This window comes from Homo sapiens, chromosome 2 (assembly GCF_000001405.40).
Source record: "Homo sapiens chromosome 2, GRCh38.p14 Primary Assembly".
Lineage (NCBI taxonomy): Eukaryota > Metazoa > Chordata > Mammalia > Primates > Hominidae > Homo > Homo sapiens.
The window spans coordinates 202,708,933-202,731,723 of record NC_000002.12 but is presented as its reverse complement, the minus strand read 5'-3'; the positions used below and the strand labels follow the sequence as shown (position 1 = coordinate 202,731,723).

Genomic DNA, 22,791 nt, shown 5'->3' with positions numbered 1-22,791 from the left:
GTGCAGTGGCTCACGTCTGTAATCCTAGCACTTGGGAAGACCGAGGCAGGAGGCTCACGAGGTCAGGAGTACGAGACCAGCCTGGCCAACACAGTAAAACCCTGTATTTACTAAAAACTCAAAAAATTAGCCGGGCATGGTGGTAGGTGCCTGTAATCCCAGCTACTCAGGAAGCTGAGGCAGGAGAATCGCTTGAACCCGGGAGGCGGAGGTTACAATGATCCAAGGTCGCGCCACTGCACTCCAGTCCAGGCGACAGTGAGAGACTCCATCCCAAAATAAATAAATAAAATAAAATAAAAATAAATAAAAGTTTATATATTTTTTAATTGAGAAGGAGCTTCTCTCTCTCTCCATATATATATATATATATATATATATATATATATATTCCAATTTCTCCACATCCTCCCCTGACACTTATTATCTGTCTTTTAAATTACAGCATTCTAATGCATATGAACTGGTATTTCACTGGAGTTTTGAATTGCATTTCCCCATTGACAAATTATATTGAGCATCTTCTTCATGTGCTTATTGGCTATTTGTACATCTTCCTTGGAGAACTCTCTGTTCAGATCCTGTGCCCATTTTTAAATGTTTTTGTTAAATTACTGAGTTGCAAGAGTTGTTTACGTAGTTTAGACACAAATGCCTTATCAGATATATGATTTGTGAGTTACTGAGTTGCAAGAGTTCTTTATGTAATTTAGACACAAATGCCTTATCAGATATATGATTTGTGGGTTATCCTATTCTGTGGGTTATCTTTTCACATTCTTGATGATGCCCTTAGAATCACAAGTTTTTAATTTTGATAAAGTACAATTTATCTACTTCTTTTCTTGCTTTTGCTTTTAGTGTCATTTCTAAGAAGCCATTGCCTAACGCAATGTCACAAATGTTATGACTACATTTTCTTCTAAGAGCTGTTAGGTTTAGCTCTTACATTTAGGTCCTTGACGATTTTGAGTTACTTTTATATATGGTGCTGAGGTAGATAGATAAACTTCTAAAATCCTATTTCATTTTTTATTTTTTCATTGTTTGTTTGTTTATTTAGAGAACTCTATCTCCCCCAACTGGAGTGCAGTGGTGCAATCTCAGCTCACTGCAACCTCCGCCTCCCAGATTCAAGCTATTCTCGTGCCTCAGCCTCCCGAGTAGCTTGGATTATAGGCACGCGGCACCACGCCTAGCTTATTTTTGTGTTTTTAGTAGAGAGGGGGTTTTGCCATGTTGCCCAGGCTGGTCTTGAACTCCTGGGCTAAAGCAACCCACCCGCCTCGGCCTCCCAAAATGCTGGGATTACAGGCGTGAACCACCACGGCCGGCCTTAAATCATATTTTAAAAGTTAAAATTGACATCATCCTTAACTTTCATCTCTATTTTTCTCAAATATTGTCAACCATCAGCTAGCACAGAGTTTAAAAACCTCAGACTCTGAGGTTACAATGCCTAGGTTAGAATTCTGGCTGTCTCGTGTGACCTTAAACAATATACCTGACCTCTCTGGGCCTTGATGTTCTTGTCTATAAAATGGAGAGACTAACAAACCCCACCTTAAAGATGAGGATTGAATGCCAATAATGTATCCAAATGCTTACCATAGTAAACCCTTTTAATAGAATTCAACTATTAATTCTTACCTTCTAAATATCACTCAAGTTCATCCTCAGCAGTTTAAAAGTTTCTACCCTACTAGAGGCCATCATTTCTTACTTGGATCACTAAATCCTATTCTTAAATTATTTCCCTACTTCTAATCTTGTCTCTTCCCAATTCGTTCTATATCTGACCCCATAATGACCATTATGAAATAGTCACATATCCATATCCTGCATTTTAAAAAATAGCCTAGGTTGAAGTCTAAATGTCTTAATAAGTGAACATGGAGACTTTCAGGTTTGGCTGCTATTTACCTCTCTATCCTGCCTAATCTCTTACCACTACTCCTATCTGGGGACATGACTTTTTCCACCTTATACTTATCTTTCAAGGATCAGCTAGACACCATTTTCTCTGAGACGTCTTTCTAGATGACTCCATCCTTTTCCAAATAAACACATCTTCTGTTGCATTCTGAATTCTCCCTATCAACACATTCATTATACAGTGTTATAATTAACTGTTTACTCATATCTCTTTAATATGAGAACTGGTAAGGACAGACAATATTTCTTTTATCACCACATCCCCTAATGAGTACTACGGTCACAGGCCAAAATGATTAATAAATATTGTATGGGCTGATGAATGGCCTCAGAAGTACACATGTATCGTGTGGCACTTTTCTCCACTAGATAGAGAACCCACCAAAACAATAACTTAATAGAAATTATTTTCATGTTTACAGCCTAAGAGTTTCTTTTTAAATTTTTTTTTTTTTGAGATGGAGTCTCACTCTGTCACCCAGGCTGGAGTGCAGTGGCACGATCTCTGCTCACTGCAACCTCCGCCTCCTGGGCTCAAGCCATTCTCCTGCCTCAGCCTCTCAAGTAGCTGGGGTTACAGGCACCCGCCAGCCTCGCTAATTTTTGTATTTTTAGTAGAGATGTGGTTTCGCCATGTTGGCCAGGCTAGTCTCGAACTCCTGACCTCAGGTGATCCACCCACCTTAGCCTTCCAAAATGCTGGGATTACAGGCGTGAGCCACCGTGCCCGGCCAGCGTGAGTTTCAATTAAACATGAGTACTACTGTCATTACTATCATGATGCACATGTGCCTGACTTGCGGTTGGCTGATAACACTAAATAAAATGGGAGAAACAGTTAAGACGCTTGATGTGTCAAGTGTACAAAACTCAAACTAGATGAACTATTTTTCAAGTTTCTCTATTTTCTTGTCCTTACCCTCTCTGCAAGGAAATGTTTTTAAATTAAATATAAATTTCAAGTAAATTCCAATAATCTTTATTAAGTAAATTCAACTTGCAAGAAGAAAAAAATGAAAATTTGAATAACCACTTTAAAATTGTTGGTTTTAACACAAGTTTAAAAAATAATCACTTCAGAAACTTCTGAAGTCCTAAAACTAGCCACTTAATTCAATAAAATTCCATCCTAATCCCTATTCTACTTGGAGTAAAAATATGGACTGGGAGTAAAAAGTGGCCTTATTTTTTAGAAACACATACCATTTATTTATGAATGAATGAGAGGAAGGGGAAGGTTGGCAAATTCATCTGTAAAATCATCTGGGTCTTCAGCCTCTTGAGAGTGAGACTGGGTTTTTAATTAACATTCCAAATTCAAAAGTTATTAGTCTTTACAAATTTTTCATTTCTTATTTTGTCAATTTAAAATTTCTATTTCTCCAGAAATAAATCTAGTTTGTACAGAATATACACGAATACTAATGTATAACCATGTTTTTAATTAAAATATCAAATATAGAAAAAAGTTACTGGAAATTATAATCGAACTATAAATTTGGCTGGACATAGTGGCTCATGCCTGTAATTCCAACACTTTGAGAGGCTAAGGTGGGAGAATCACTCAAAGCCAGGAGTTAGTGACCAGCTTGGGCAACACAGACCCCATCTCTACAAAAATAAAAATAAAAAATAAAAAATATTAGCCAGGCATGGTGGTGCACATATGTAGTCTCATCTACTCAGCAGGCTGAGGTGGGAGGATCACATAAACCCAGGAAGTCGAGGCTATAGTGAATCTGTGATCACCCTGCTGCACTCCAGCCTGGGTGACAGAGCAAGACCCTGTCTCAAAACAAACAAAAAACAATCTCTATAAACCTGTGAAATCAAATCTGACCCGAGTATTAATATTTTGGGGCAAAATCAGTTTGAAAAAGTCTATACCTTTACCCATACTTTCCATTGCAAACAATCTATACATTTAACAAACATCAGACACTACCAAACTATAAAAGGGGTTGGCCTGCCTTATCTGTAAAGGGCCAAACAGTAAGTATTTTAGGCTTCGTGAACCAGACAGTCTCTGTTTCAACTACTCAATTTCAGAAGACTGGTTCCAGGACAGGACCCCCCTCCAAATACCAAAATCCACAGATACTCAAGTCCCTTATATAAAATGGCATGGTAAGTGCATTATGATTTAGGAACATCCTCCTGTATATTTTAAATAATCTCCAGATTACTTATAATACCTAATACAATGTAAATACTATGTAAATAGTTGTCATACTGTATTTTTATTTGTACTTTTAATTATATTTTAAAATATATTTATATTTATACATATTCTATTCTATTTTTCCAAAAATATGTTTGATCCATGGTTGGTTGAATCCATAAATGCAAAACCTGAAGATATAGAGAGTCAAATGTATATTTTTGTGGCACAAAAAGGAGCAATAGACAATACATAAAAAATGAGAGTGACTGTTTTCTAATAAAACCTTATTTACAGAAACACATGGTGGGACATTCTTGGCTCCCGGGCCACAGTTTGCCAACTCCAGTATTATAAAACAACCTGAGAGTCACAGAACTAAGTCTTCTAGTTTCCCTCTACCTTCCAGGCCCTGCTGCCTTACTGTTAACATGGAAAATTCAATCCAGCCTTCCTCATTCCCAAAGCTTCAATTCTGGAACTTGAAAGATCCTGAAAAGACCTGAAATGAACTTGCTTTCTCCTTGCCAAGAGATCTCATCCAATTTCAATTCAGTAAAAAAAAGTGTTCTTTGGATGGATGAGCCATCAAGAGCAGTTCATGGGTTCTACTAAAAAATCAAAGCAGATAAAGGTTTGTCTCTATCAAAAGACTTCTATGAGACAGCTATTTTTTTTTTTACATTTTTTTAAATTATACTTTAAATTCTAGGGTACATGTGCACAACATGCAGGTTTGTTACATACATACCCATGTGCCGTTTTGGTTTGCTGTACCCATTAACTCATCATTTACATTAGGTATTTCTTCTAATGCTATCCCTCTCCCATCGCCCCAGCCCACAACAGGCCCTGGTGTGTGATGTTCCCCGCCCGAGACAGGTATTATTATTCCCATCTTCACATGAGGAAACTGAGACTTAGAAAAGATAAGTTATTCAGCCAGGGCCTGTTCCATACCCAATGCTTAATTCTCTGTGTCATTCTGCCTCCAAAATATTGAACTGATAAAGCCAAAAATATGGTAAACCAAAATAGATAAGTAGCTATGTCTCCTAGAAGTCGTATCTTAGGTCACTAAAGGAAAATATCATTTTGTCAACTTAATATTCTGTTTTCTTATAAAGACTGTGATTCAGTATTTAAATCACTGTTTCAAATATGTTTTTGAGCATTTTTGTCCTAAACAATTACCAATGAAATAACAAATCACCAGAAAAACAACAAATTCCTTTTCTGGATTTTGTGGTATTGGTACTCTTACCTGACACTGGTTAATAGCTGCATGGTTGCCATGAAATGGAGACTGTCTTTCTTTATCTCGATGATGCCGACTGCTGTGTTTACTTCTCTGCAACTGCTGGCGTAATTTTGCAATCTGAGAAAGCAAAAATAGCAAGTACACCAGAGTGTTTTCTACATGAAACAAAAACACATCCTTGCTTAATAAGAACCAGTAAAACTTACCCTTAATAAGTCCTTTGAATTTTTGAACCATATCACAAAGTCTCATTTTTTGTTCATAATTTTATACACATCTACACATGCATGTATGTGTATATGTTCCAACATTGTTCTCAGCCTTCGAGCTTCCCAAGTACTACACAAATAGTTTTCAGCACTTAGAATAAATTACATTACAGTTTTCACGAAGAATTAAAAAAATAACAATCATTCTCATTGCCTTTACCATAAGTTAATTTTTATTTCAATTTAGATTTATTGAACACCTAGCTTTCAACAGTTCCAAAAATTACACAGTATTTAAAAATCAACTCAAGTCATGAAATATATTCACAGATATCATCTTTAAATAACGAATGCAATTCCAATGAATATCTTATTTATTCTTTGACCGAGTTTTTGCATTTCTACATTATGTGTGAAATGAAAATGTCACTAATTAGCAGCACAGAAAATGGTAATCATAGCATGGAGCCATAACCATCATGGTTATAGTGAGTACTGCATTTCAGAAACACCACCATATATAGAAAAATAATAAATGTGGCCAGGTGCGGTGGCTCATGCCTGTAATCCCAGCACTTTGGGAGGCCAAGGCAGGCAGACTGCTTGAGGTCAGGAGTTAGAGACCAGCCTGGACAACATGATGAAACCCCATCTCTACTGAAAATACAAAAATTAGCTGGCCATGATGGCATACACCTGCAGTCCCAGGTACTTGGGAGGCTGAGGCACGAGAATTGCTTGAGCCTGGGAGGCAGAGCCTGCAGTGAGCCAAGATCGCACCACTGCACTCCAGCCTGGGCAACAGAGCGAGACTCCGTCTCACACACACACATGCACACCCCAAAAAAAAAAAAAAAAGAATAAATGTGAATTTGTTGTATTGTTACAATTTTTAAATCTGATGTTAATAGACAGGTATGAATTCTCCTAAAAAAAGACAAACATACATAATCAGGTAAGTGATATATAAATATCCCTATTGAAATCTTTATTAAATCAACACAATAATTGTTTTTGTTATTTCAGAAGCCAAAAAGAAAAAAGAAATCAATGGAAAACGACAAATCCTTGCTGCCCATAATATCAAGGAAATAGCCAACAAAAGGATCATATTTCCACACCCACTATCTTAGAACCATTTTTCTGACCTCCTTAAGTTGATCTGTACTGCCCCAAGATGCTGAGCGCTTGTGAGACCCTTTCTTCTTTTCAGAGTATTCTTCAGCCCATGCACTCTCTGTCTGTAATGAAAAAAGAGGGGAGGTGTATTTAACAAAAATCATTTCACAACAATGTCTACCATATTTTTCTATTATAAAACATATTTCCATTACAAAAAAATTAGACATTAAAAATAATTAACACAAATTACTCAAAATTCTCCTGGCACCAGTTACTTAACTGGTATTAATTACAATTAATATTTTGGCATACTTCATTTTTATTGCTAATAAAAAATTAGTATTTTTACATAATTATAATTATACTACAAATAAAGCATTTATGGAACAAAGTTAACTATATATAATAACTAGAGTTACCATAGTTAACTAACATATAATAGCTAATAATGTCAGTTATTATTAGCACGCACCAGGCACACTAATAATAGCTAACATTCTTGTGCTCTTATGTGCTAGGCACTGTGCTTTCATATGCTTTATCTGACTTAACACATGTAAGTTGCCTAAGGTGTTACAAGCGGCAAAGCCAAGAAATAAACCTGAGACTCCAGAGCTTGTAATATTAACTTCTATATTATGTCTAGTCTTGCCATAAGTATCTTCAGAGAACAGCTTCAAAAATGTTAAACCTGGCTGGGCGCGGTGGCTCACGCCTGTAATCCCAGCACTTTGGGAGGCCAAGGCGGACAGGCCACGAGGTCAGGAGTTCGAGAACAGCCTGACCAGCATGGTGAAACCTTGTCTCTACTAAAAATACAAAAATTAGCGTGTGCTTGTAATCCCAGCTACTCAGGAGGCTGAGGCAGGAGAATCGCTTGAACCCGGGAGGTGGAGATTGCAGTGAGCCGAGATCGTGCCACCGTACTCCAGCCTGGATGACAGAGGGAGGCTCCGTCTCAAAAAAAAAAAAAAAAAAAAAAAAGTTAAACCTTAAGTAGTTATACCAAACCCAGAATTTAAAAAGTGTATTGGGAAAGAAAATACAAATGAGTTCCTAGCACATGAAACTATGCTCAACCTCACTGATAAGAAGGGAAATGAAAGTTAAAGCTTCAACAAGATTGAGCAATTTGCTAATATAAACTCTCCTATATTGTTAGTGGGAGCATACAGCCTTTATGGGGGGATATTCAGCACCTGCTGTCAAAGTTATAAATGCGCAAACTGACACAGCAACCCCTTATTTAACAATTTATCCTGCACAGATACCAAATGCACATCTTTATGTACAAAATGACTTGCCTATTATTCCCTGTAGCACTGTTCTTACAAGTAAGACTGAAACAATGTAAGTAAGTTAGATTTATTTAGGTTTGGCTAAATAAATTATGGTATACCTTTATAACAGAGTACTGTGCAGCTATAAAAATGAATAAGGAAATTCACAATATACAGACATGAAATAATCTCCATGATATACTGTTAAGTGAAAAACCTCAAGGCTCAGTACCGTGTGTATAGCAACTGCCTTTATATGGGACTGCTAAAAAGAATGCATGTGTGTGTAAATTATATCTGGAAGAAAATAGATGGTAACAAAGAAAATTGGTACCAGTGGCTGTCTCTGGGGAAAAAGACCCTTAGTGTATACCCTTCTGTACCTTCTGAATTTTGTACATGAAATAATAAAAAATACCAAAAAATACTGTGCAGTTTGAATATCTTTTGCACTATTAACGTACCAATTACTAATTATAAAATGGTCTAGTTTCAAATGGGGAAGGAAAAGTTTTCAAAAATGAAGACACTGTGATTCTAATTAGTCATGTCCCAGGTCTGGATCTTCTCCTTATAGCCAAAAGGACTCCATTCTGACAAGGATCCTTAAATACACTGAATCAAAAGGAAGGGCTACAATTTGGTCAACTTCCCACCACTCTATGCCCTATTTCACCCTAAACTCCAGTTTCACTTTGAGGTTACCAACTGATGTCACACATCCCAGAGGTGACCCCTACTGTACTTATAATTTCTCATATTAGGATCCACAGGCTCTTTAAGTCCATTGTTAAAATACCTGTCACAAAGATCAACATGTAAATAGGACCATATAGCATAAAGTATCAAAATCAAAAACCAAAATCAAAATAATAAACTTAATACTATAAAATTTAAAACCTTAACAAATGAATTTTTTTTTTTTAATTTTTAAGTTCAAGGGTACATGTACTGGTTACATAGGTAAACAGGTAAACTCGTGTCATGGGGGTTTGTTGTACAGATTATTTCGTCACCCAGGTACTAAGCCTAGTACTCATTAGCTATTTTCCCTGATCCTCTCCCTCCTCCCACCCTCCACCCTCTAGAAGGCCCCAGAATCTGCTCTTCCCCTCTATGTGTCCATGTGTTCTCATTATTTAGCTCCCATTTATAAGTGAGAACATGCAGTATTTGGTTTTCTGTTCCTGTGTTAGTTTGCTAAGGATAATGGCCTCTAGCTCCATCCATGTTCCTGCAAAGGACATGATCTTGTTTATTTTTATGGCTGCACAGTAGTCCATGGTGTATATGCACCACATTTTCCTTATCCAGGCTACTGTTGATGGGCATTTAGGTTGATTCCATGTCGTTGCTATTGTGAATAAGCAGCATAGTATGCGTGGTTCAGAATCACATATGTTGGTGTTAAACAAACATGTTTAAGTTTCAGATCAGTTAAATAACATTTTTTGGGCCAGGCGTGGTGGCTCATGCCTGTAATCCCAGGAGGCCGAGGCGGGTGGATCACGAAGTCAGAAGTTTGAGACCAGCCTGGCCAACATAGTGAAACCCCGTCTCTACAAAAAGTACAAAAAATTAGCCGGGCGTGGTGGCAGGCACGTGTAATCCCAGCTGCTTGGGAGGCTGAGGCAGGAGAATCGCTTGAACTTGGGAGGTGGAGGTTGCAGTGAGCTGAGATCTCGCCACTGCACTCTAGCCCGGGCGACAGTGAGAGGCTCCATCTCCAAAAAAAAAAAAAAAAAAAATTGTATCTTTACAAGATGCTTCTCTTATATGAATTTTTAAATTCCTCATTTATAAGAATAATGTCAGGCCAGGCACAGCGGCTCATGCTTATGCATGGCTAATCCCAGTGCTTTGAGAGGCCAAGGCTACAGGATCACTTGAGCCCAGGAATTCAAGACCAGCCTGGGGAACACAGGGAGACCTCATCTCTAAAAAAATGTAAAAAATTAGCTGGGCCTCATGACTCACGACTGTAGTCCTAGCTACTTGAAAGGCTGAGGTGGGAGGATTGCTTGAGCCTGGGAGGTTGAGGCTGCACTGAGCTGTGCTTGCTCCACTGCACTCCAGCCTGGATGTCAGAGCGAGACCCTGTCTCAAAAAAAAAGGAATAATGTCATCTACATACTAAAATTATAAGGTAATTAAAGGAGTTAGTATATGTAAAGGGTTTAATTTTTAAGCACGGTGCCAAGAACAAAACATTCACTCAGTAAATGTTTATTATTATTTTCATTCCATTAGGCCAAGTAGTCGTAACTTATTTTGTTATCTCTATGGTCATAAAGATATATGAAAGAATGCAAATATTTTTTGATGAAAAAAATGACCATAATAATTTCATGTAAAACAGAGGATAGAAACAGAATAAGTTTTATGAAAATAGTTTTTTGCAAATTCTAATCAAATGTAAATGATAACCCCTCTTTCATACATTTTATATTACTATTTATATGAAAACTTCAGGCTAAAATCATGATGAAGAGATGCTTTATAAATACAATTCCAAATTCAAAAATTGTTTAAATTTTTATCCTTGCATTTCAAATGTTAGTTCAATATTTAATTCAGAGCTTATAGAGGTTCTCAAATATAGTTAGAAAAAAAAAGTTGGTTTATACCTCTCCTCATGGAAGAGGGGAGGAACCCTTAGAGATAAGAGGGAATCCCTCTATTTAGGAAAACTCCTTAATATAGTAAGTGAAATACAAGGTTGCAGAAAAATGTATAGAATATGATATTTTGTGTGTAACCAAAAAAAATCAGTTTTTCTTGTTCATTTGTGTTTGTGTATGTGGTTGTGTGCTTGGGCACATGCAACCTCCAAGAAAACAACTGAAGTAGGCAAGGATCATCAATGGAAGTGAAAACTACTAGGTAAAAGCTACTAAAGAACAGGATATTTGTGCGGTGCCAAAACTCGCAAATTACTTGCTAATTACAAAACCAAACAGTTTATTTTCTTTCCAAAGTGAATAATTCATTTAAAAACTTAATGTAATTAAGGAAAAAAGTGCGAGAATGACCTGTTCTAAATTAAGAAAGACTTAAGAGAAGCCAAGTGCAATGTATGAATGTGGAACTGGGTCCTTTTGGGTCCAAGTGTAATGTATAAATGTTGAATTGGGTCATTAAAAAAAAAAAAGACATATTGGGGAAATTTTAACATAAACTGGTTATTATGTGATATTATGGAATTGTTAATTTTTTTAGGTGACCTAATGCTGTTGTAGCTATATAGAAAATATTCTTAGGAGATACATATCAAAATATGTAGGGATAAAAATGTCATATCTCCAACATACTTTCAAAAATTGCAGCGCACACACACACACACACACACACACACGACAGGTAAAGCAAATATGACTAATGTTTAAAACTCTTGAATCACAGCTGTAGTATTCTGATTTTTTTTTTGTATATTTAACATTTCCATAATAAAAAGGAGAAAAATCTTAGGTCATTTCCACTGATATTTTATGAACTCCATTTAGGACAATTCCATAAAGAAATACCTCCATTAGAAAGTATTAGACCAACAAATCAATACAGAAGAATGACAGAGCTACAAAGTCATCACTTTGGAACTATTATAGTAATAACTGACTTAAGTAATAATCATCAACAAATGCTAAAACCAATGAATGTTTCTTGGAGAACAGAATATTTACAATCTCAAATATTTCTCCACAAATTACTATTAGTTACAAAGGGTTCTGATGGATCAAACTTAACATCACTGACTTCATGTACCTCTTGATCCACAGGCACAGAAAGGAACATACATCACATACAGTATTCCTAACAAAAATGTAACAAATTGAATCTTATCATAAAGGAATATATAAACCCAAGTTGACAACATTCAAAAAAATACTGGTCTACACTCTTAAAAAACATTAATGTCATGAAAGACTCAAAAACTCAGGCTGAGGAACTTCTCTAGATTAAAGGATATTGAAGAGAAATGACATGTAAATGCCATGTGTGCTCCCTGACTGGATCCTAGCTTACAGGGGAAATTGCTACAGAGAACAAATTCTGAACAACTGAAAAATTTGGAATATAAACCATATATTAAATAACAGTATTATATCAATCTTACATCTCCTGAATTTGATAAGTTTATTGGTATTTTTAAAAGTCCCTGTTCATATACATGCTGAAATAGTTAAGAAGAGTTAGAATGTCTGCAACTTACTAACGATTAGCAAATTATAACATAATTGTACATACAGACACAAAAATAAAGCAAAATGTGGCAAATGTTACTTGGTAAATATAGGTGAAAGGTTTACTGGTACTTAATATCCTTGCAACTTTTCTGTAAACTTAAGATTTTTCTCAAAATAAAAAGTTTTTAAAAATCAGGATTAATTCAAAGAAAAGCAAAGGTATATAAAAGATTCCCATAGATTTATTAAGAACAAATTAAAGATGATGAGAGTAACACTATTAATTACTAAGACAAATAAAAATAAGCATAAAGAACAACAGACAGCTTTGGTCACTTCAGTGATAAGATATTCAGGGCAGGAAAAAATACCTAGCAAAAACATCAGTTTTACTTATATGCCTAATGTAAAAGACAATTGCTTTCTTTGTTCAACTAAGAAGCTGTGCTTTGATTGTAGGACACTTAGGTATTAATAAAAAGTAAAATTGAGTTTTAATTAAATGTTTTCATTTTGTTCAGTCTTGTCTTATGTACTAGAAGGCTTATATTAAAGTATCTAATAATGTGTCAGACACTAGATTAACGATTGGAGGTCAAGAGGAAATACAGCTCTTATTCTCGAAGAGCTTCTTCTAGGAGAGAAGGAATAGATAGCTAATTATGATATATGTGATGATAGAAGTCCCCTAAGGCATCTAATCCAGAATTTGAAGGACAGGGGAGGTCGGTAGGCACAGTTTTATGGAATGAGGAGATACTACCAGAGTATGAGTCATCCAGTCAAATGGTGGGAAAAGCATTCCAAACAAACTAGATCGCTGGGCAGCATCAGTGAGTGGAGCACATAGGGCCAGGTTCATTACTGAGACCTGGAGTACATCTTCAAAATTATTTTTAATGAGGTTAAAAAATGTATTAGTTACTCCTTGACAAATATAGATGCAAAGATCCTCAATAAAATACTAGCAAACCCAACCAACAACAAAATTTTTAAAAAATCATATACCACAACGAAGTGGCATTTATCCCTAGGATGCACAGACGATTCAATAAACAAAAAAATCAACTGATATAATATGCCACATTAACAAAATAAAGAACAGCATTATATGATCATTTCAATAGATGCAGAAAAAACTCACAAAATTCACTCTTTCATGATAAAAACAAACCAGGAATAACAGAAAGTATCTCAACATAATAAAATAAAATTCATAAAGGAGAAGCCCACAGCTAACACCATATTCAATGAAGAAAAACTGAAAGCACCTTAGGTACCAGCTTGGCCACAGTGGCAGAGAGCACCAAGCAGACTGTTGGGGTTCTCGATTCCAGGCCTTGGCTCTAGATGGCATTTCTGGACCTGCCCTGGGCCAGAGGGGAAACCACTGCCCTGAAGGGTGAGTTCCACGCCAGGCAGCATTAACCACAAGCTGACTGAAGAGCTTTTGGGCCTTAAGGGAACACTGGCAGTGGCCTGGCAGTACTACCTGTGGGTCTGTGGTAGTGGTGGCTACAAGGTGAGGCTCCTCTGCCTATGGAAAAGGGAGGAAAGAGTGGGAAGGACTGCATCTTGTGGTCTGAGTGCCAGCTCACCAGGCAGACTTCTAAGGTTTTTGACTCTAGTCCCTGGCTCCCTACAACACCTCTGGACCTGCCCAGGGCCTGGGGAAACTTACCACCAGGAAGGAAAGGACACAAACCTAGCTGATTTTGCCACCTACTAACTGCAGAGCCCAGGGCCTTGAGCAATCAAAAGCATTAGCCAGATAGTGGTTACAGCAGGCCTTGGGTGAAAAGCTGTGCTGGCTTCAGGTCTGACCCAGTGCAATCACATTGATAGTAGTCACAGGGGTGCTTGTGTCATCCCTCCCCCAGCTCCAGGGGGCTCAGAACAGAGAAGGACACTCTGTTTGGGAGAAAGAAACAGAACCGAACAAGGGTCTCTGCCTTGTAATCCAGATAATTCTTCTGGATCTTCATCAACATTGTCAAGGCAGTATATCTACAACTCTGCAAGAATATCACAACATTACTGAGCTTGGGGTGCACCCTAATAAAGACACAGCTTAGATTACAACACCTATGATTTGTTTTTTTGAGACAGGATCTCACTGTCACCCAGGATGGAGTACAGTGACACCATCTCAGCTCACTGTAGCCTCACCTTCCTGGGCTTGAGTGATCCTCCCACCTCAGCCTCCAAGTAGCTGAGACTATAGGCATATGCCACCACACCTGGCTTGTTTTGTATTTCTTTTTGTAGAGATGGGATTTCACCATGTTACCCAGGCTGGTCGCAAACTCCTGAGCTGAAGCAATCTGCCCTTCTCAACCTTCCAAAGTGCTGGAGAGTTAAAGGTGTCAGCCACTGCACCCAGCCAACACCCAGTCTTTGCAAATATCTGAAAAGCTTTCCCAAGAAGGACAGGTACAAACAAGCCTGGACTACAAAGACCTACAATAAATACCTAACTCTTCAATGCCCAGACACAGATTAGCATCCATAAGCATTAAGACCATTCACAAAAGCATGACCTCACCAAATGAACCGGAGACCAATGCTAGAGAAACAGATATGTGACCTTTAAGATAGAAAATTCAAAATAACTGTTTTGAGGAAGCTCAAAGAAATTCCAGATAACACAGAGAAGGAATTCAGAATTCTATCAGACAAATTTAACAAAGAGATTGAAATAATTAAAAAGAAGCAGAAATTCTGGAGTTGAAAAATGCAACTGACATACTTAAGAATGCATTAGAGTCTTTTAGTAGTAGAACTGCTCAAGCAGAGGAAAGAATTAGTGAGCTTGAAGACAGTTTATTTGAAAACACAGACTCAGAAGAGACAAAAGAAAAAAAAGAAAACGAAAACAATAAAGCATGCCTACCGGATCTAGAAAATAGCCTCAGAAGGGCAAACTGAATAGTTATAGGCCTTACAAGGGAGGTAAAGAAAGAGATGGGGTAGAAAGTTTATTCAAACGGGGCCTTGTAGTAACCTCAAATCAAAAAACATACAACAACAGATACACTAAAAATAAAAAGCAAGAAAATAAATCATACCACCAGAGAAAATCACCTTCACTAAAAGGAAGACAGGAAGGAAGGAAAGAAGGAAGACCACAAAACAACCAGAAAACAAATAACAAAATGGCAGGAGTAAGTCTTCACTCATCAATAACAACATTGAATGAAAATGGACTAAACTCTCCAAACAAAACACACAGTGGCTACATGAATAAAAACAACACACCCAATGATCTGCTGCCTACAAGAAACACATTTCATTTATGAAAAACTATATACGCTGAAAAAAAAAGGGATGGAAAAAGATGTTGTTTGCAAATGGAAACCAAAAAAGAGCAGGAGTAGCTATATTTAGACAACACAGATTTGAAGACAAAAACTGTAAGAAGAGACAAAGAAGGTCACTACATAATGATAAAGGTGTCGATTCAACAAAAAGATATCCTCTCCCTCTCCCTCTCCCCTTTCCACGGTCTCCCTCTGATGCCGAGCCAAAGCTGGACTGTACTGCTGCCATCTCGGCTCACTGCAACCTCCCTGCCTGATTCTCCTGCCTCAGCCTGCCGAGTGCCTGCGATTGCAGGCACGCGCCACCACGCCTGACTGGTTTTCGTATTTTTTTGGTGGAGACGGGGTTTTGCTGTGTTGGCCGGGCTGGTCTCCATCTCCTAACCGCAAGTGATCCGCCAGCCTCGGCCTCCCGAGGTGCCGGGATTGCAGACGGAGTCTCATTCACTCAGTGCTCAATGGTGCCCAGGCTGGAGTGCGGTGGCCTGATCTCGGCTTGCTACAACCTCCACCTCCCAGCCGCCTGCCTTGGCCTCCCAAAGTGCCGAGATTGCAGCCTCTGCCCGGCCGCCATGCCATCTGGGAAGTGAGGAGCGTCTCTGCCTGGCCGCCCATCATCTGGGATGTGAGGAGCCCCTCTGCCTGGCTGCCCAGTCTGGGAAGTGAGGAGCGCCTCTTCCCGGCCACCATCACATCTAGGAAGTGAGGAGCGTCTCTGCCCGGCCGCCCATCGTCTGAGATGTGGGGAGCGCCTCTGCCCCGCCACCCTGTCTGGGACGTGAGGAGCGCCTCTGCCCGGCCGCAACCCCGTCTGGGAGGTGAGGAGCGTCTCTGCCCGGCCGCCCCGTCTGAGAAGTGAGGAGCCCCTCCGCCTGGCAGCCACCCCGTCTGGGAAGTGAGGAGCGTCTCCGCCCGGCAGCCACCCCGTCCGGGAGGGAGGTGGGGGTCAGCCCCCGCCAGGCCAGCCGCCCCGTCCCGGAGGGAGGTGGGGGGTCAGCCCCCGCCCGGCCAGCCGCCCCGTCCGGGAGGGAGGTGTGGGGTCAGCCCCCGCCCGGCCAGCCGACCCGTCCGGGAGGGAGGTGGGGGGTCAGCCCCTGCCCGGCCAGCCGCCCCGTCCGGGAGGTGGGGGGCGCCTCTGCCCGGCTGCCCCTTCTGGGAAGTGAGGAGCCCCTCTGCCCCGCCACCACCCCGTCTGGGAGGTGTACCCAACAGCTCATTGAGAACGGGCCATGATGACAATGGCAGTTTTGTGGAATAGAAAAGGGGGAAAGGTGGGGAAAAGACTGAGAAATCGGATGGTTGCTGTGTCTGTGTAGAAAGAAGTAGACATGGGAGACTTTTCATTTTGTTCTGTACTAAGAAAAATTCTTCTGCCTTGGGATCCTGTTGATCTATGACCTTACCCCCAACCCTGTGCTCTCTGAAACATGTGCTGTGTCCACTCAGGGTTAAATGGATTAAGGGCGGTGCAAGATGTGCTTTGTTAAACAGATGCTTGAAGGCAGCATGCTAGTTAAAGAGTCATCACCACTCCCTAATCTCAAGTACCCAGGGACACAAACACTGCGGAAGGCCGCAGGGTCCTCTGCCTAGGAAAACCAGAGACCTTTGTTCACTTGTTTATCTGCTGACCTTCCCTCCACTATTGTCCTATGACCCTGCCAAATCCCCCTCTGCGAGAAACACCCAAGAATGATCAATAAAAAAAAAAAAAAAAAGAAAAAAAAAAGATATAACAACTGTAAATATATATGCACCCAACACTGGAGCACACAAATATATAAAGCAAATATTATTAGATCTAAATAGAGATGGACCCCAATACAATAACAGCTGGAGACTTCACCACCCCACTTTCAGTACTGAACAGTTCATTTATACATAAAATCAACAACAAAAAAATCAGACTCAATCTATACTATAAATCAAATGGACCTAATAGATATTTGCAGAACATTTCAACCAACAGCTGTAGAATACACATTCTTTCCTCAGCACATGGATCATTCTCAAGGACAGACTATGTTAGGTCACAAAAAAAAGTCTTAACACATTCTGAAAAATCTGAAATAATATCAAGCATCTTCACTGACCACAGTGGAATAAAACTAGATATCAATAATGAGGAATTTTGGAAACTATAAAAAAAAATGAAAATTAAACAATATGCTCCTGAATGACCAATGGGTCAATGAAGAAATTAAGAAGGAAATTTAAAAATTTCTTACAACAAATGATAATGGAGGGCCAGGCGCAGTGGCTCACACCTGTAATCCTAGCACTTGGGGAGGCCAAGGCAGGTGGATCACCTGAAGTTGAGAGTTTGAGACCAACCTGGCCAACATGGTGAAACCTCATCTCTACTAAAAATACAAAAATTAGTTGGGCATGGTGGCATGTGCCTGAAATCCCAGCTACTTGGGAGGCTGAGGCAAGAGAATTGTTTGAACCCAGGAGGTGGAGGTTGCAGTGAGCCAAGATCACACCACTGCACTCCAACCTGAGCAACAGAGCGAAACTCCTTCTCAAAAAAAATAATGGAAACACAACATACCAAAATCTATGGGATACAGTGAAAGTAGCACTAAGAGGGAATTTTACAGCTAAAAGTGCCTACATCAAAAAACAAGAAAAACTTGAAATAAACAACCTAATAATGCATCTTAAAGAACCAGAAAGGAGCAAACCAAACACAAAATTAACAGAAAAAATAATAGAGATCAGAACAGAAATAAATGAATTTGACATGAAGACAACAATACAAAAGATCAACAAAACAAAAAGGTGGGTTTTGAAAAGATAAAATTGACAAATCTTTAGCCAGACTAAGAGAAAAAGAGAGATCTAAATAAATAAAATCAGAGAGGGAAAAGTAGATATTACAACTGATACCACAGAAATTCAAAGGATCATTATTGGCTACTATGAGCAACTATATGCCAATACGTTGTAAAATCTAGAATAAATGGATAAATTCCTAGACACACACAACCTAACAATATTTAACTATGAATAAATCCAAAACCTGAACAGACCAATAACAAGTAACAAAATCAAAACCATAATAAAAAGCACCCCGGCAAAGAAAATCCCAGGACCCAATGGCTTCAGTGCTGAATTCCACCAAACATTTAAAGAAGAACTAACACCAATCCTACTAAAACTATTCTGAAAAACAGAGGAGGGAATATTTCCAAACTCATTCTACGAGGCCAGTATTACCCTGTTACCAAAACCAAACACTTCAAAGAAAGAAAACTATAGGCCAATATCACTGATGAATATTGATGCAAAATTTAACAAAATACTAGCAAACTGAATTCAACAACACATTAAAAAGATCATTTATTATGACCAAATGGAATTTATCCCAGGGATGCAAGGATGGTTCAACAAATGCAAATCAGTGTGATATATCACATTAACAGAATGAAGACAAAAACTATATGATCATTTTGATGCTGAAAATGCATTTGATAACATCCAACATCTCTTCATGATAAAAACCTTCAAAAAACTGGGTACAGAAGGAACATATCTCCACATAATACAAGTCATTTATGGCAGACCCATAGCTAGTGTCATATTGAATAGGGAAAAATGGAAACCCTTTCCTGTAAGATAGGGAATATGACAAGGATGCCCACTTTCACCACTGTTACTCATTATAGTACTGGAAGAGCTAGACAGAGCAACTGGACAAGAGAATGAAATAATAGGCACCCAAACTGTAATGGAAGAAGTCAAATTATCCTTGTTTGCAGATAATATGATCTTATATTTGGAAACACCTAAAGCCTCCACACGCACAAAAAAAAAAAAAAAAAAAAAAGAGAGCTGATAAATTCAGCAAGGTTGCAGGATACAAAATCAACATACAAAAATCAGTGATATTTCTATATGCCAACAGCAAATAATCTGAAAAAGAAATCAGCAAAGTAATTCCATTTACAATAGCTACAAATAAAATAAAACACCTAGGAATTAACCAAAGAAGTGAAAGATCTCTTCATTGAAAACTGTAAAACACTGAGTGAAGAAATTAAAGACACACAAAAAAAGAAAGAAATCCCATGTTCATGGATTAAAAGAATAGATATTGTTAAAATGTTCATACTAGCCAAAGCAATCTACAGATTTAATGCAATCTCTACCAAAATACCATAACATTCTTCACAGAAATGGAAAAAAAAATCCTAAAATTTATAAGGATCCACAAAAGACCCAGAATAGCCCAAGTTATCCTGAGCAAAAAGAACAAAACTGGAAGAATCACATTACTGACTTCAAATTATACTACAGAATGACAGTAACCAAAATGGCATGGTATTGGCATACAAACAGACACATAGAGGTCAGTGGAATAGAAGAGAGAATCCAGAGATAAATCCATACATCTACAGTGAACTCAGTTTTGACAAAGATGCCAAGAACATACATGGGGAAAGGACAGTCTGTTCAATAAACGGTGCTGGGGAAACTGGTTATTCTTATGCAGAAGAATGAAACTAGACCCTATCTCTCACCTTATACAAAAATGAAATCAAAATGGATTAAAGATTTAAATCTGAGACCTCAAACTATGAAACTACTACAAGAAAACATTGGGAAAACTCTCCATGATGTTTGTCTGGGCAAAGATTTCTTGAGTAATAACCCACAAGCAAAGGCAACCAAAGTGAAATGGACAAATAGGGTCATATCAAGTTAAAAGCTTCTGCACAGTAATGGAAACAATCAACAGAGTGAAAAAGACAACCCAAAGAATGGGAGAAAATATTTGCAAATTATCCATCCAACAAGGGATTAATGGCCAAAATATAAAAGGAGCTCAATAGGCAAAACTCTAATAATCCAATTTAAAATGGGCAAAATATCTCAATAGATATTTCTCAAAAGACATACAAATGACAAACAGGTATATGTAAAAGTGCTCAATCACTGTTCATCAGAAAAACACAAATCAAAACTACAATGAGATGCCATCTCACCCCAGTTAAAATGGTTTTTATCCAAAAGCCGGGCAATAACAAATACTGGCAAGGATGTGGAGAAAAAGGAACCCTCATACACTGTTGGCAGGAATGTAAATTAGTACTACCACTAAGGAGAACAGTTTGGAGGTTCCTCAAAAAAACAAAAAATAGAGGAACCATATGATCCAGCAATCCTACTCCTAGGCATATACCTGAAAGAAAGAAAATCAGTATATTGAAAAGGTATCTGCACTCCCATGTTTAGTGCAAAACTGTTCCCAATAGCCAAGATTTGGAAGCAACCTAAGTGTCCATCAACAGACAAATGAATAAAGAAAATGTGGTACATACACACAATGGAGTACTATTCAGCCATAACAAAAAAAAAGAGATCCTGTCATTTGCAACAGCATGAATGGAGGACATTATGTTAAGTGAAATCAGCCAGTCAGAGAAAGACAAACTTTGCAGGTTCTCATTTGTGGGAGCTCAAAATTAAAACAACTGAACTCATGGAGACAGAGAGTAGAAGGATGGTTATCAGAGGCTGAGAAGGTTAGCAGCAGGCAAGAAGGGAAGGGGGATGGTTAATGGGTACAAAAAATATAGTTAGATAGAATAAGATCTAGTATTTGATAGCACAACAGGGTGACTCCAGTAAACAGTAATTTATTATACATTTAAAAATAAGTAAAATAATATCACTGGAATGTCTGTAATACAAAGAAATTATAAATGCTTGAGGTGATAGATATCTCATTTACTCTGATGTGATTATTATGCATTATAATCAAATATATTGCATCAAATATCAGAATATCTCAGCTACCCCATAAATATATACACCTATGTGTATAAGAAAAAAATTAAGAAAATTAGGAAAGCAATCTCATTTACAACAGCACCAAAAAATAACATAAGAATAATCATAACTAAGGAAGTGAAAGACTTATATACAGAAAACTAAAAAACATTGATTAAAGAAATTAAAGACGACATAAACAAACAGGCATTTCATGTTCATGGACTGGAAGACTTTTAATACTGTTAAAACACCCACACTACCCAAAGTCATCTACAAATTCAATGCAATCCCTATCAAAATCCCAGTGGCATTTTTATGGAAATAGGTAATAATTCTAAAACTCGTGTGAAACTACAAAAGACCACGAATAGCCAAATAAATTTTGAGAAAGAACAAAGCTAGAGGCATCATACTTCTCGATTTCAAAACATATTACAAAGTTACAGTAATAAAAATAATATAGTACTGGCATAAAGATAAGACATACATCAATGGGACAGTATAGACAGCCCATAAATAAATCCACACATTAACACTCAACCAATCTTCAATGAGGGTGCCAATGGGGGAAGGACAGTCTCTTCAACAAATGGTGCTGGGGAAACTGAATATCCTCATGCAAAAGAAAGAAGCTAGACTCTTACCCCATACAAAAATCAACTTAAAATTGATTCAAGATTTAAATATAAGACACAAACTATAAAACTCCTAGAAATAAACATAGGGGACAAGCTTCATGATATTGGTCTTGACAATGATTTCATGGCTATGACATCAAAAGCACAGACCAAAAAAAGCAAAAACTAAAAAGCTTATGCACAACACAGAAAACAATCAACAGAGTAAAAAGCAACCTAAGAAATAAGAAAATATTTGCAAACTATATATTTGATAAGAGGCTAATCTCCAAAATACGTAAGAAACACATACAACTCAATGGCAATAAAACTAATAATTAAAAAATGGGCTGGCCAGGCGTGGTGGCTCACGCCTGTAATCCCAGTACTTTGGGAGGCAGAGGGGGGCAGATCGCCTGAGGTCAGGAGTTCAAGACCAGGCTGACCAATATGATGAAACCCCATCTCTAATAAAATACAAAAATTAGCTGGGCGTGATGGCGGGTGCCTGTAATCCCAGCTATTTGGGAGGCTGAGACATGAGAATCGCTTGAACCCGGGAGGCAGAGGTTGCAGTGAATTGAGATCACTCCATTGTACTCCAGCCTGGGCAACAAGTGCGAAACCCTGTCTGGAAAAAAAAAAAAAGGTCTAAGGACTTGGGGAAAAAAAAAAGTGGGCTAAGGACTTGAATAGACATTTCTCCAAAGAAGATGCACAAATGACCAAGAGGTATGTAAGAAAATGTTCAACATTAGTCATTGGGGAAAGATAAATCAGAACTACAATGAAGTATCATCTCGCGCCTGTCAGGATGACTATTACCAAAAAGCCAAGTGTTGGTAAGGATGTAGAGAAAGTGGAACGCCTGTACACTGTTGTTGGGAATACTAAACAGTAGAGCTTCTATGGAAAACAGTA

The 22,791-nt window shown here is 38.2% G+C and overlaps 1 protein-coding gene across 1 annotated transcript in view, besides 2 other annotated features; it reads right to left on the bottom strand.

The window, feature by feature from the left end:
- FAM117B (family with sequence similarity 117 member B) overlaps positions 1-22,791 on the bottom strand; it is a 134,789-nt gene that overhangs the window by 38,034 nt on the left and 73,964 nt on the right. Inside the window, exons 3-4 of the mRNA NM_173511.4 lie at positions 6,715-6,807; positions 5,361-5,474 (exon numbers count right to left, since the gene is read on the bottom strand). Of these exons, the coding sequence (NP_775782.2) occupies positions 5,361-5,474; positions 6,715-6,807 (207 nt within the window). The remainder of the gene's footprint in view (positions 1-5,360; positions 5,475-6,714; positions 6,808-22,791) is intronic.
- Positions 12,771-12,971: a silencer, noted in NCBI's record as "peak4017 fragment used in MPRA reporter construct". NCBI's record gives its function as "represses an SCP1 promoter by STARR-seq MPRAs in K562 erythroleukemia cells {active_cell/tissue: K562}" and the evidence as "EXISTENCE:reporter gene assay evidence [ECO:0000049][PMID:32103011]".
- Positions 16,616-17,297: an enhancer, noted in NCBI's record as "NANOG-H3K27ac hESC enhancer chr2:203579150-203579831 (GRCh37/hg19 assembly coordinates)". NCBI's record gives its function as "activates a minimal SCP1, AML or CMV promoter by ChIP-STARR-seq in primed H9 embryonic stem cells {active_cell/tissue: H9 hESC(primed)}" and the evidence as "EXISTENCE:reporter gene assay evidence [ECO:0000049][PMID:30033119]".